The 14,717-nt window shown below is 46.9% G+C and overlaps 1 protein-coding gene across 15 annotated transcripts in view, besides 1 other annotated feature; it reads left to right on the top strand.

Moving 5' to 3' along the window:
• RASSF2 (Ras association domain family member 2) overlaps positions 1 to 14,357 on the top strand; it is a 43,586-nt gene extending 29,229 nt beyond the window's left edge. For 9 of the 15 annotated variants that reach the window (XM_017028153.2, NM_014737.3, XM_017028151.2 and 6 more), the window contains 7 exons: positions 1,753 to 1,841; positions 3,769 to 3,929; positions 4,683 to 4,784; positions 6,112 to 6,163; positions 6,626 to 6,747; positions 8,052 to 8,149; positions 10,038 to 14,357. In XM_017028153.2, coding sequence (XP_016883642.1) covers positions 1,753 to 1,841; positions 3,769 to 3,929; positions 4,683 to 4,784; positions 6,112 to 6,163; positions 6,626 to 6,747; positions 8,052 to 8,149; positions 10,038 to 10,107 — 694 coding nt within the window. In that variant the 3' untranslated portion in view covers positions 10,108 to 14,357. Of the gene's footprint in view, positions 1 to 1,752; positions 1,848 to 3,768; positions 3,930 to 4,682; positions 4,785 to 6,111; positions 6,164 to 6,625; positions 6,748 to 8,051; positions 8,150 to 10,037 lie in introns of all 15 variants that reach the window. The other 6 variants (XM_017028149.2, XM_011529410.2, XM_047440619.1 and 3 more) reach the window with 1 other exon arrangement.
• Positions 13,856 to 14,074: a silencer, noted in NCBI's record as "fragment chr20:4760952-4761170 (GRCh37/hg19 assembly coordinates)". NCBI's record gives its function as "represses an EF-1alpha promoter that drives an FKBP-Casp9 reporter gene in an ReSE screen in K562 erythroleukemia cells {active_cell/tissue: K562}" and the evidence as "EXISTENCE:reporter gene assay evidence [ECO:0000049][PMID:32094911]".
• Positions 14,358 to 14,717: the final 360 nt, after the last annotated feature.

The following is a 14,717-nucleotide window of genomic DNA, read 5'->3' as shown; positions in this document are numbered from 1 at the left end:
CCAGGCTGGTCTTGAACTCATGACCTCAAGATATCCACCTTCCTTGACCTCCCAAAGTTCCGGGACCACAGGGGTGAGCCACCATACTGGCCCTACCTGGATAATTTTCATGTTTTTTGTAGAAATGGGGTCTCACTATGTTGCACAGGTTGGTCTCAAACTCCTGGCCTCAGGCAATCCTCCCACCTTGACTTCCCAACGTGCTGGGATTACAGGTGTGAGCCACCATGCCCAGCTGTACTTGTTACACTGTACTGTATTTGTTATACTATACTGTATTTGTTATACTATACTGTATTATTGCTGTATTTGACTGCCAATGGCCAAGCCCATTTCACAGCCTGACCCTGACCCCCAGACTATTCTATTCCCTAAGTGAGATGATTTTTAAGATTTCGTTTGAGCCTGTGGCCTTTGGTTTGGGCTGCTAAAGGGTCCTTCGGTCCGCCTGCTTCTTCTCCCTTCTCTGCGGCATCAAGCTGGTCCTGGCTGACTCTGCAAAATACTTTGGTAGAATTTTCAGGAATGGTAAATGGTGTCATTTAGATGTCAGCTATAATACAGTGAATGCCTAGACTGCTGTCTTAAGAAGGATCCTGAGGCTGTGCGTGGTGGATCGTGCCTATAATCCCAGCACTTCGGGAGGCTGAGGCGGGTGATCACTTGAGCTCAGGAATTCAAGACCAGCCTGGGCAACATGGTGAAACCCTGTCTCTACAAAAAAATAAAATAAAAAAAAAAAATAAGGATGCTGAGACCGGTTCCTGCTTCAGCAAGAATGAAGGCTTTAAATCAGGGAGTGGGAGTCGCTGCTCTGGGTGCCAAGTGTTCACCATTCCCCAGAAGCTCTGACCAGGTCCATTCTGTGGTTCAGAAGTATATGAGTTAAATTACAATAGGAAGTTCTTTCAGATTTTCCATTTTAATTGTCCTTCCTTAAAACGATCCTCCCCAGAACATGAGGTTTATCTCTACTGGGTCCCAGGGAGCCCATGCTCTTCTCACCATGGGTTGTTCCTAATTGGTCAAATATGATTCTCCTTTCTAGCCAAATCCTCTGTTGATTTTGGATGTTTTTCTGAGCTGCTCCCTTTGTCCTTTTTGGCTTTGAGAAGTTATTTGCCAGTTATGATGGCAAACCAGGGTCTCAGCTTGGACTGCCTGCTTGTAACCCTTTCTTCAGCTTGGATGAGGACTCCATCCTTGCAACGCTGAGAACACTGTCAGTGTCCCTTCCAAAGCTGCCCCTGCCCTTGTTGTGGCCAACTTATTACTTTCCATTCCTTTTGAATGCCAGAAGCAATTATGAGTTATTTCTTCAACAGCAATGAGTCTAAACTGGAATCTTACCCTGCAAAACGAATGGCCACTATTAGAGTTTTCCAAGTAAGCCATAGAATCCATACATGCTTAGAAGCAGTGCAGGCAACACGTGGGTTTTGTTCCTTGGTATTATCCATCCTGGGCTTGATGAATTGGTTGGGTGTGTTACTGCAGTTGCTGCAAAAGAACATCTTCTCCCTCCGGAACTCCCCCTGCCCCACCCACTGCTTGACCTGGGAGCTGGGCCAGCCTTTCACGGGATGCTCCGCGCAGCCCATCTGCACCCTTCATCACCTGATGTGTGCCAGTACCCAGCCTGGCACTAGCAAAGTGCTCCCCTTTCAGGAGTGGGGTCCAGCGGGTGCGGGGGCGTCTCTCCACAGGGCTTAAACTAGTCTCCCCCCTCCCCTTTGTCTTCTCCACTCCCAGAACCACTCTGAAGCCCCTGACTGTGCCCAAAGTTCAGATCTCAGAGGTGGATGCCCCGCCGGAGGGTGACCAGATGCCAAGCTCCACAGGTACATGTGAGTGGAAGGTACTTCCAGCTAGGGACCAACTGTGTGAAGACCGCTGTGATAGATGTTGTAAACTGTTATTTATTTTTGAGAATATAAAATGTATATGGTTCAAGATACAAAGGGAGAGAATTAAGTCACCCACCTCATCCACCCACCTAGAAGCATCCCGAGAACATCCTTCGTGGGATAGTCCATGCAAATATAAGCAAAACACACTGACATGTCTTTATGGGTGGATGTAGTTTCTTTCCCCCTCCCCTCCCCTCCCCTCCCCTCCCCTCCTCTCCCCTTCCCTTCCCTTCCCATCTCCCTCTGTCACTCAGGAGGATGCAGTGCAGTAGTGCAATCTTGGCTCTGCTTCCTGGGTTCAAGTGATCCTCCCACCTCTGCCTCCTGAGTAGCTGGGATTAAAGGCATGGGCCACCATGCCCAGCTAATTTTTGTATTTCTAGTGCTGATGGGTTTTTGCCATGTTGGCCAGGCTGGTCTTGAACTCCTGGCTTCAAGTGATCTGCCCGCCTCAGCCTCCCAAAATGCTGGGATTATAGGCATGAGCCACCGCGCCTGGTTGGATGTAGTTTCTTTTCTTCCCCTAGTTATACAAGTGGTAGCATTGTGCAGATCCCAGTTTTTATTTATCAGTTTATCTGGGGGAATGTTTCCATATACATTTGTAAAGAACTTCCTTATTCTTTACAGCTCTGCATTCTTTCACTGTATGGAAAAAGGATAATTTATGTAATCACTCCCTACTGGTAGACATTTAAGTCATTTTCAGCCTCTGCTATGACAAACGAGTTTGCAGTCGGCGGCCTTATACATGTGTCACGTCACACATTTGTCAGCGTGTAGGATTCTTTCAAGTGGACTTTCTGGGTTTAAGGCCATATGCATTTTTAATTTTCATAGATATTGTCAGTTTGCAAAATCTTTTTTATATTACGTGGATTAAATATATTTTAATAAGAGCAGATTAACCTACTTGTGATTAATGTCAGTATTGTATATTTATACACATACAAGGATAGACATATGCCATGGGAACCCCACATATTTTTAGATACATGTTCTGTTAAACATTATTTTTTCTAATTTTTTATTGTGGTAAGATATACATAACATAACGTTTACCATCTTAACCATGTTAAGTGGTACAGTTCAGTGGTATTAAAAGCACTCATAATGTTGCGCAACCATCACCACCATCCATCTCCAGAACTCTTTCCATCTTGTGAAACTGAAACTCTGTACCCATTAAACTCCCAATAGCTCCCCACATCCTTCTCTCTTTAGCTCCTGGCAACCACCATTCTACTCTCTGTCTCTGTAATTTTGTATGTACCTAGAATGTACTTACAGTGTACCTCAATTATATGTGGTACACTTATATGAGGTACACTCTAAGTATCTCATATAAGTGGAATCATTCAGTATTTGCTGTTTTGTAATTGGCTTGTTGCACTTAGCATAATGTCATCAAGGTTCATCCGTGGGTAGCATGTGTCAGAGTTTGTTTGCAGTATCTTGTTAGCTCTTATATCATGCTTATCCTGTGCCAGGCACTATTCTAAGTGCTTTATGTATACTAACTCATTTAAACCCTCAGCAACCCTCTGAGGTGGGTGTTATTATTATCCCTATTTTATATATAAAAGCACCGAGGCACAGAGAGGTTAGTGATATATGGCAATCATGGAGCAGGGATTTGAACCCAGGGAGTCCGGCTCTGAAGTCTGTTCTCTGAACTTTTCCTTGTATAGGTTCTCTGTAAATTCTGCATTATGTTTTTCCCCCAGCAGAAAATATTATTTGTATAAAATATATATTTGTGGAGACAGTGGGTGCTGTCGCACTGGCCACAAATTGGGGACCATGTGCCATGTCCCAGGTCCAGACAGACAGAGTTCATTTCCCTCTCCTCTCTCAGACTCCAGGGGCCTGAAGCCCCTGCAGGAGGACACCCCACAGCTGATGCGCACACGCAGTGATGTTGGGGTGCGTCGCCGTGGCAATGTGAGGACGCCTAGTGACCAGCGGCGAATCAGACGCCACCGCTTCTCCATCAACGGCCATTTCTACAACCATAAGGTAAGGTGGACAGGGGGACGGGGAGGGTGGAAGACCTCTTCCTGGGTAGATGCCACCTCAGGGCTACAGCCATATGGTGGGTGGTGTGGATGCCTGGGAAGCCAAGTGTTTGCTGCTGTTTAGTCTTTGGGTTGTGGGTGGGCTGCAAGCCCTGCTGGCTTCCTGAGGGCTGAGGGACCCCAGGTCAGAAGCCTCAAAGTCCCCCTGTGGGTTCCCCTTAAGGTGGTGGGTGAATTCAGTGGGGCTGTACAAAGCAGTCCCTGCTGTAGCCTTGAAGACCCCATAAACGCAGCTCATCAGTCTCTCCCAAGAAAATCCACGTGTTACCCTCTTCCTGCACACTGTGCCCCCAGCTGGTGTATGGTCTGGCTTTTCCCAGAGCTGAAGCAGAGCTGCAGGTCTCAGACCTGGGGTGTCAGTGCACCACCCACCCCACCCCATCTTGCTGATCCCTCCTTTCCTCCTGCTTTGTTCAAATCCTACCCCCGGAGGCAATACATGGTGGGAGAGTGGTCAGAGACAGCCTTGTGCTGAAGTCCCAGAGGAAGGGTCTTTTTGAGCGTGGAGCATGAACTGAATTATGCAAACCCCGAGGGTTGCTTTGTCTACAAAGCCTGCTGCTTGCCAGTCTGCCGGGGGCTCCCAGGGAGTACATTCTGAGTATCGTTGTCACTGTGCCCTGTACCGCACCTGGATTTTAGCACTGGGTCCTTGTTCCCACTCCCACCCTGAGCTGGGCCCTTCTATTGACAGACATCCGTGTTCACACCAGCCTATGGCTCTGTCACCAACGTCCGCATCAACAGCACCATGACCACCCCACAGGTCCTGAAGCTGCTGCTCAACAAATTTAAGGCAAGTTCCCTTTGCTGAGTGGCCACAGATGGGGTCACAGCTGTGCCTTGGGACTCCTAGAGTGGTTGTGCGAGGAGCTATGGAAATTGTGTGTTTTGTGGGATGCTGAGCAGAGGGCTTCGGTTCTTTAGATCCTCACGATCCAGGACAAAGTCCACAGAATCAGCATCAGCATCACCTGGGTGCTTGTTAGAAATTCAGATTCTCAGGCCCCACCCCAGACCCACTAAATCAGAAATTGTGAGGGGTAGGCCAGGGACGCCGTCTAACAAGCCTGCAGGGGATTTGGATGCCTACCGAAGTTTGAGAAACATCAGCCCTCAAATCCTTTATGGGCTACTTTAGAAGGACCCTGGGGCCTGCTGACTGGTTTTGGGCTCAGTGCGAAGATTGACTTCTGGGACACAGTTGGGAAACCTACTTTGAAATATGATACTTAAATAGACGTGCAAATTATAGTGCAGGAGTGCTTTTAAAGTTCTGTTGCTCTGTGTTTTCCACAATCTCTTGGAGACCAGAGATCTTTTGGAGACCAGGTGTTCTTATTTTTAATGGAAGCCAGTGTAGCCTAACAACCTAAGAACACAGGCTCTGGGTTCAAATCTCCACTGAGCACCTGCTAGTTGGATGAATTGGGCAGGTTACTTAACCTGCCCCTGCCTCTGCTTCGTCATCATAAAATGAGGATAATGGGACTTCACTATGGTATCGTCGTGAGCATTAGATGGGTTGAAGCCTTTAACATTTGTAGAACTATGCCTGGCACATTGCAATAGACGATAGCTGTTATCTATCCTAGTCGTGTGCTACAGAATGACCAATTTGGTCAATGATGCACCACATATACGACAGTGGTCCCGTAAGATTATAATCCATTTTTTATGGTACCTTTTCTGTGTTTAGATATGTTTAGATACACAAATGCTTACCATTGTGTTACAAGTGCTTACGGCATTGAGTACAGTAACATGCTGTATAGGTTTGTACACTAGGAGCAATAGGCTATATACCATATGGCCTAGGTGTGAAGTAGGCTATGCCATCCAGGTTTCTGTAAGCACACTCTATGATGTTTGCACAACAATGAAATTGCCTAGTGACACATTTCTCAGAATGCATCCTCGTGGTTAAGTGCATGACTGTATTATTGATAAAGTCATCTGCCTTCTCGATCTTCTCATCACTTCTGAGAGTTGTAGATAAATAGCTCTCCCCTCAAAACAGCCTAAAATTGACTTAGCTTTGCATTGCTAAAGAAGAGGAAAAGCCTCGAAGTTGGGATGTTTAAATAGAAACTTTCAACAAGAATCTTTTGCTCCTGCTTCAGATTGAGAATTCAGCAGAGGAGTTTGCCTTGTACGTGGTCCATACGAGTGGTGGTAAGTCTGAAGACCACAGTGTACTTTAAAACTTCTAATTAACTCAAAATAGCAAGTTAAAAAAATACCTCTGCCTCCTTTGCTTGTTGTTTGAGTTTTGGAAACTTCCAAATGTTGTTTGCCTTCAAGGCTGATGGGCTTGCTGTATGAGTCTACTAGGGATTGCCTTATATGGCCAGTAAACAAATTCTAAACCTAACTGCCTATTAAAAGAGGAACTAGATTTTCTTAAGAGACAGATAAACCCAATTCCTCCAAGGAGTTTGAGGCATGGTGGTATTGTTGAGGGGTGAGGAGTGGGAGGAAGTTGCTTTTCACAACACCTATGGAATAGTTCACTTATAAATCAGTCTCCTGACGTATATGGCGGCATCTCCTAAGGTGCCTTTGGACCCCTGCATTAACCACTACTTAATGTGAGAAAGGCCTCTCAGGGCTGCTCCTGGGTGTGTGTGGTTGCAGAGAAACAGAAGCTGAAGGCCACCGATTACCCGCTGATTGCCCGAATCCTCCAGGGCCCATGTGAGCAGATCTCCAAAGTGTTCCTAATGGAGAAGGACCAGGTGGAGGAAGTCACCTACGACGTGAGTTCCCTTTGGGTCAGGCGATCTGTCCTCAGGAGGGTGGGGATTTGGTTGGACCACCTGTAACTGGGGTATAGAATGACTTTTTTGACCAACGACCATGCCCCCTTTTACTTCTTCAGCACCAGGTTCTCTCGAAGCCAGCTTTTGCAGAGTAACAAACATCTCCAAATCATAGTAGCTGACAACAGCAAACATTTGCTTTTTTGCCCATGATTCTGTGGTCTAGTAGCAATGGCTCTACTCTAAGTATGGGTTGAGTTCAAGTCTGCACTGTGTGACTCACCCAGAGGCCCAGGCTTTTGGGGCAGTAGTTACTGCACATGGGTGTGGTCCTCATGGCAGATGGCGGAGCATGAGAAACCAGGCCAAATCATGTAAGCATATTTGAAGCCTCCACTCAGATTTGGTGTGTCATGTCCACACACATTCCACTGGCCAAAGCCAGTCACATGGACAAGCTCAGCATTAATAGGGTAGAGAAATGTACTTATCCCAGGGAGAAGAGTTGATAGAGCAGGGTGGGGATTCTTGTGGGGAAAGGGAAGCCATTTTTTAACTTTTTTTTTTTTTTTGGGATGGAGTCTCGCTCTGTTGCCCAGGCTGGAGTGCAGTGGCACCTCCCTGGTTCAAGCTATTTTCCTGCCTCAGACCCCTGCGTAGCTGGGACCACAGGTGTGCACCACCATGCCTGGCTAATTTTTGTATTTTTAGTAGAGACGGGGTTTCACCATGTTGGCCAGCTGGTCTTGAACTCTTGACCTCAAGTGATCCGCCCGCCTCAGCCTCCCAAAGTGCCGGGATTACAGGCATGAACCACGATGCCTGGCACCGTTTTTAAACTTTAACTCACCCCATAGCCACCCACAGCCTCTCCAAAGCGAGTTCATATTTGGATGCTTGTTTGAGCCTTGAGACCCAAATCGTCATCTGGAACCCTGATTCCTTCCATTCTCTTAGGGGAGAACAAAGGGGTTTATTAAACATAATGGGTTCAGTTCTTTCTCTGCATCACTGTGTCAAAAGAAAGTACTTTTCTGTGTTTGGCTTCACCTCATCATGAATTGAATGCATGACATGAAAAATGAGAAGTTATGAGATGGTGTCACGTAAGCGAAGCGATCATCGCAGACTCCTTCCCACCCTGGTGAGGAATGAGGCTTGGCTGCTGCCTTTAAGGAAATCCTGGGTTTCTGAAAAAAATAGACTTCCCAAGGCTTTGTGCCTTGTATAAGGACAACCCTGAAAGGAATTGGAATAATGCTGGGAAGGGCATTCACCCAGACTTGCTTCTTTCTCTCTAGGTGGCCCAGTATATAAAGTTCGAGATGCCGGTACTTAAAAGCTTCATTCAGAAGCTCCAGGAGGAAGAAGATCGGGAAGTAAAGAAGCTGATGCGCAAGTAAGTGTGGCTTCTGGGGCACTGGGTGCACTTCTCCTGGGGCCTCAACAGAGGGGCCTCTGCTGGGTCCTCGCAGGGACTGTGCTGAGCTGCTGCATGGGCCTGAGTCTCGGCTTTCTTTGGAGGGCTGCCCATTGACAAACCTGGATTTCAAGTGAGGACGTGACAGTTAAGTGTGTTCATCTACTTCTTGTGTCAGCTTCTCGTTTTGATGTGGGACATCAAAGTGTCTCTTGTCCTCCCTCTTATGGAAAGACTCTGAAAAGAAGGTGTTGGTTTAAAATTTCTTTGGGGTCTAGATGCAGAAATAGGGAAGGTGACTGTACGCTGGTTTCTTAAGTATACGATCAGGCTCCCAGCAGGAGACAGATGCTCACTCCGATGAGGGTCTTTGACGGGTGTTTGAAGAAGGGACTATTTGCGAAGACTTGGGCAGAGTCTGGGGTAACCTCAAGGGATAGTGCAGTCCCTGGGGCTAGTGTTACCACCCCTTGCCTGAAGGGGTGAAGGCAAGGAGTGCTAACCAAGACCCGGAGGTTCCAGGGATTTCAGGAAGGCTGTCTTAGCCGTGGATGTAGCCTGAGCTACTGGCCTCCAAAATCCTCTCCTCTCCCCCTTCCTCCCTTTGTAACATTTATCTTCTGGAAATTGCATTTGGATTGAAAAATAAAGCGGCTTTCTGGGAAGGATTTTGTGATTTCTTTGCTATGTTTAGTCATAGAAGAGACTGCCTTTCATAGATATGGTGGAATTAATGATTCATTTTTGCCACTGGAGAATAAAGCCGCTGCTGGATTTGCTGTATCGATGATCATAACTAGTCTGATAACACACTGAACACTTACTATGTCCTAAAGTTTTTGTTGTTGTTGTTGTTGTTTTGTTTTGTTTTGACACAGAGTCTTGCTCTGTTGCTCAGGCTGGAGTGCAGAGATGCGATCTCGGCTCACTGCAACTTCTACCTCCCAGACTCAAGTGATTCTCCCGTCTCAGCCTCCCCAGTAGCTGGGATTACAGGCATGCGCCACCATATCTAGCTATTTTTTTCTTTCTTTCTTTTTTTTTTTTTTTTTTTGTATTTTTAGTAGAGACGGGGTTTTGCCATGTTGGCCAGGCTGGTCTTGAACTCCTGACCTCAAGTGATCCACCCTCCTCGGCCTCTCAGAGTGCTGGGATTGCAGGCGTGAGCCACCATGCCCAGCCAACTATGTCCTAAACTTTAAAAATAGCTTTTTCTGTGCAGCACAAATCCCTGAACATAAGGAATATGTCCATTGATCCCTGCACAACAGTGCCCACTCCTGCAGCTGCAGTGCCACGGCTCAGGGAAGTCGTGGGAAAACAGAACTCCCCCCAAGCCACGGACCTCCACGCCTAGTAGCTGCTATGGCCTCTTCTGCAAAATGCAGGTTCTGTTATAAGGTTGAACCATACGAAGTTGCCATTTTTGTAGGATCCCCAAGAGGGTCAACTGTTAGCAATTTTATATCATCTAGCCTAGGTGAGGGTTCATGAGCTGCTGTGCATATGAAGTACTATGCATAGTGTCTTGGACATAGTAAGCAAACGCACTGAATTCGTAGAATGCTTATTATTGCTGTTGTTTTTTTTTACCTTTTTTTTTTTTTTTTTTTTTTTGGCTAGATGTTCTACCCATAGTAAAATAATCTAATTTGGATTTGGCCTCTTTATTTCCTCTCATCGTGTTGTAGGAATGAACATAAGCAACAAAGTAGCTAAAGAGGGGTCAGTAATGGAAGCAAAGGAGCAGGGCACTTGACTGCACTGTTACCTGGTGTGACCTTGGTGTTACCCAGGTGGCCGGGAAGGTCCTGGGCAGGGGTGTGTTGCTGGCTGCTCTCCATCTGAGCCTGTTTCTTGTCTCCAGGTACACCGTGCTCCGGCTAATGATTCGACAGAGGCTGGAGGAGATAGCCGAGACCCCAGCAACAATCTGAGCCATGAGAACGAGGGGATCTGGGCACCCCAGGAACCGCCATTGCCCATAAGACCCCCAGGAAGCTAGGCACTTTCTTTCCATGGAAACATTTAGACACAAACCTCCCCAGCTCCGGCCAAGCCATCATTTGCTACCTGGAGCTGGATGTAGAAGTCAGCAGACAGCTCCCTATCCCTGGACCCCTGCCCTCCTTTTTTCTGCTCACAAGGACTTTTGATTTTAGTTATAAGGAGGACCCAAAATGTGTGTGTGTACATGTGTGTGCACACATGGTACGTGTCCATGTGCCTACCTGATACTTTCACATGTAATTAAATTCCAGGCAACCAGCACAAGAGCCGTGAGCTTGGCACATGTGCTGCTCGTGAGCAGGAAAATCAGAGGAGCCACTGATCTGAGTGGTATTTAGGTTGAAGGAAAGATTTCTCCTCTCAAGTGCCAGGGAGCAGCCACACGTCTGTCTGTGTTTAGAGAGGGAAGAGGGTTCTCCAGGTTCACCATTTGGGTTGTTTATATGTTGGTAGAAATTCTCCCTGTATGCCTAGAAGGATCAGTGAATGTAAGAGCCTTGGAAATTAACAAAATAACAGCCACATAACCTTGCGGCAAGTCTGATGGAAAGAAAAAGATAAACCATCCGTGGGGTAGATGCAATAAGCCCACGTATTTTTACACTGGAAACGTTGATTGTTTTAAATGACAAAGACATATGTGATGTTCTATGTGGAAACCTGTGAAGAGTGGATTCTGCCTCCATCTCTGCCTCCATGGCTACCTTTAGGAGACAGAGAAGATCCTGTGTGTTTCTCTGTACCCAGCTGACAGCCTGTCTCTATGGCGCTTCCTTGAGTGGAAGGAAATGTCTCAAGAAACAAAGATCTCGCTGGTGCGTACACAGTGCTGACCAGCTAGTGTGGCCAGGGCCTGGTGGCCTGGTGGCCAGGAAGTTTCAGGTTGAAGGGAAATGTCGAGGCTACCTGCAGATATGACAGGTGCCTTGAACGCAGCCCATCTTCATGTCATCAAAGGTCTTCCTGCACTTGAAGCTGGGGCGATGTTTGCAGTCAAGACCATTCTTTCCAACCTCTGGGTTCTTGCAAGTTGCCCTCACCTTGTGTGTGGAGATGCATTCCAAGAATGAAGCCTCATCTTGCTACTGAGTGTGGGGTTCAGGGAAGCTCTTTAGGCCACCTGGTGAAGGTGCATGGGGAGGATGGAGCTTCTCCTCAGCTCCTCTGAGCAGCCACCTATGTGATCTTTAAATCCAACCCCAATGGGAGAAAAGGGCAAGAACAGTCTGTGCCCTGGGACTCCTATCAGGAAGCTTGACAGGCAGCTGGGCATCAGTGCAGCTGATATCGTTTGAGGAGGGAGACAGATGCTTGGACCTGGGTGCCTGGCTATGGAGATTGACCAAGCAAGATCAGGAGCTCCTGATAGCAGGCGTCTTTGAGCCTAGCTGGGGTAGAGGCACTGCCCATCTCTTCTCCACCTTCTCTCCACAGAATGTTTGCAGAGCTGGGCAGTTGAGGAAAGGACAGCCCCTGGTTGGTGCCTCCAAAGGAAGGTGGACTTTTTTGGTGGAGACGTTTCTGCCCTGGGCACCCTCCTGCCCCCGATTCATACCTATGGCTTCTTGAGAAGGCTCACAGCTGTGGTCTTAACGTAGACTGCAGAAAGATGGCATGCGGCCCCTGGCATTTCGCCAAGGGTTTTATAGCAAGTCTCCTTCCTCCATAGGGACAGCAGCACCAGCCCTGTGGGGCATGGAGTGGAAGCCCAGAAGGGCTTCTGCAAGCTGCACAGAACTGGGGTAAGAAGACAAAGAGTAGCCACCGGGAGAGGCTTCCTTTGTTACAGCTGGGAAAGAACAGTTCTGTGAATGCAAACACCTCCTGAGTTTTGCAATTGAGAAAATGATTTGGAGAACTTCTCTTCTGGTAATTTTTATTTTGAATGTTCAGGGCCTTAGTTGGCCCCAGTAATTCTCCTTGGAGGACTTGGGAGAAGAATTTCCACAAAGCAAACTACTAACCACTAGCTCTTACTGGACAGCGATTTCTGGCTTATAAGAGTTCTCTTTGATTTGCACTAGCACTACGATAGTGTTAGATGGGGAAATACTGCAACATGTCCAGTTGGCCAGATCACTTTCCAAGGGAGCGATACTAAGGCAGACTCAGCTTTTTAAAGATGGGAGGTCAGGAGGTGGAAGTGAGAGGAGATCCCATCTCACACAACACACTTCCACGTAATGCAGACCACACTTTTCCATTTTGTCCTGCCCTCTTGAGAGGTCATTTCTCACGTCCTAAGAACCTGATCAGAAATTTTGGAAGGGTTCTTTGAAATAGCAGCAGTTGAAACAGAGACACTTTGCCACAGTGTGGAGCAGATTTTCTCACTGGTATCACATGGTCTTGCAGTTTTGAACTCTTCGACCGATTTGTGGGAGTTTATGTAATTGCGTGCAATGAACCTGAAATTGTGTAAAGGACAAAAGACCAGTTTATAGGGTTGGGTTTTTTTTCCAACTTGTGAAAAGCAGTTTAGCTGCATCTGTCTCCCCACCACCCCCACCCCGGGAGGGGCTTATGTTACAAGGTGATCAAGTGAAGGAAAAACCTGAGCCTATCTGGCTGGGATGGTGGAATTAAGCACAAGGTCACATTCTCTGTGATCACATGAGAGGGAAGGTGATGACTTAAATGGCAGGGGGTGGGGATTATCTTGGGGAGAGGCTGAAAAGCACAAAAGATAGTCTTCCCTGTACGTATTGGTGAAGAACGTGCACAAGGCTGGATGGACTTCAACTTGGAGTTGAGTTGAGGCAAGAGGATTTCTGGATATTAGTCACCCATCTGCAAGAAAAATGCTGAGGCCTCGGGTCAAGATTTTGATCTGAGACATGCTGATGCTTCAAGGAGAAATATTTTCACAATCCTCTCTTCCCTCACCAGAAGAGAACAGTACTCTCTCCTAGAAACCTCTAGGTAAACACATTTTATCCTAATATCGGTAGCATATAATGCCCCCCCCAAAATATCTGTTTTCCATGCAAAAAAGTCTCAACAAGAAGTCTGTGGAGTTGAGTGGTTACTTCAAAGTGTCAGGAGAGTGAAGAAATTGGCCACAGAAGAGCAAGAAGCTCTCTTAAGAAAAGGGAATTCTCTTTAAAGAAACCACCACCAACAACAAAACAACCAAAAACCATGTTTTATGTCAAAGCTCTGTAGCACAGAGAATGTGGTGTCACAGATACATCGCCGAGAGAGGTTTCTTTCTTTCTTTTTTTTTTTTTTGAGACAGAGTCTGGTTCTGTTTCCCAGGCTGGAGTGCAGTGGTGGGATCTCAGCTCACTGCAACATCCGCCTCTGGGGTTCAAGTGATTCTCCTGTCTCAGCCTCCCAAGTAGCTGGAATTACAGGGACCCGCCACCACGCCCGGCTAATTTTTTTGTGTGGTTTTAGTAGAGGTGGGGTTTCACCATCTTGGCCAGGCTGGTCTTGAACTCCTGACCTCGTGATCCACCCGCCTAGGCCTCCCAAAGTGTTGGGATTACAGGCGTGAGCCACTGTGCCCAGCCAAAAGAGAAATTTCTACATGAACAAGGCAATTTCAGTGTCTTACAGCGGCCAAACCATGACGTGAAGAATGAGATAGGAGACAGGAGATCACCATAAGCGTCCCTGATATAGCAGCACACATTTTCACGTTTCCACTTAAATCGTTTTGCACAAAGTCTTGCTTCGCTCAGATGAGATGAGATATGATTTCCTAGAGATGTAAAAATAAGAATGAATGTGGCGCCCCCTTCTTCCAGATGTAATAGAAAGCTCTGCCCTATCACAAGGGGGGTGTTGAAGCGCCCCTTGTGTTTTAACTGTATTTAACTGAGCACAAGATGCACAAGCTGTGGTGGGAAACCCTCAGTTTACCTTTGGAGTCTTCCCTGCAGATCGCAGACCTGTTTCCAGGCTGATGTTTCTGGTGTGTAATTGCTAGCGTTTCTGAAGGGTTTTCCCAATTGTTTTAGCCTTGTGAAGTATTCTTAATTATAACTTGCCTTTCAGCGATGGTACATGACTTGATTCAACGTTTGGTTCTGAACTTACACACTGATGCGTTTACTCATCTAACATAATCTGACAGGGCCTCAGCAAGGGAGCCATACATTTTTGTAACATTTTGATATGTTTTAATGCATCTGACTTAGATCTTACTGAAATAAAGCACTTTTCAAAGAGATGTGCCCCGTGGATGGGTCTGTGTGTGACTGCTGGCTGCGGGAGCTCTGTGTTGTGAGAGGGTGGTTGTAAGGTGGGTGACAGGAACAGGAAGGAGCACCCACCAGATAAGTTAATTTTCTTCCCCAAGTTTATGGTTTGAACATGTTTGGGCCTGGCTGTTACGTCCCAAATAGGAAGTAAAATGAGAAGGTTGTCTTAGGAGCTGCCAGTTGAGGGCTCTGGAGAGCCAGGAGTTGTGGAGGAAAGAGCTTGGAACTTCTATTCAGTGAGGCTGGATTTCCACTCTCACTCCACCCCTTCCTCTTGGACCCTGGGACCAACTCAATGATCCTTTCTCTAGGACTTGGTTTTCTCACCT

The sequence above is a fragment of the Homo sapiens genome, chromosome 20, assembly GCF_000001405.40.
Source record: "Homo sapiens chromosome 20, GRCh38.p14 Primary Assembly".
Lineage (NCBI taxonomy): Eukaryota > Metazoa > Chordata > Mammalia > Primates > Hominidae > Homo > Homo sapiens.
Note: the sequence above shows the minus strand (reverse complement) of the source record. Positions and strands in the feature narration are given on the sequence as shown.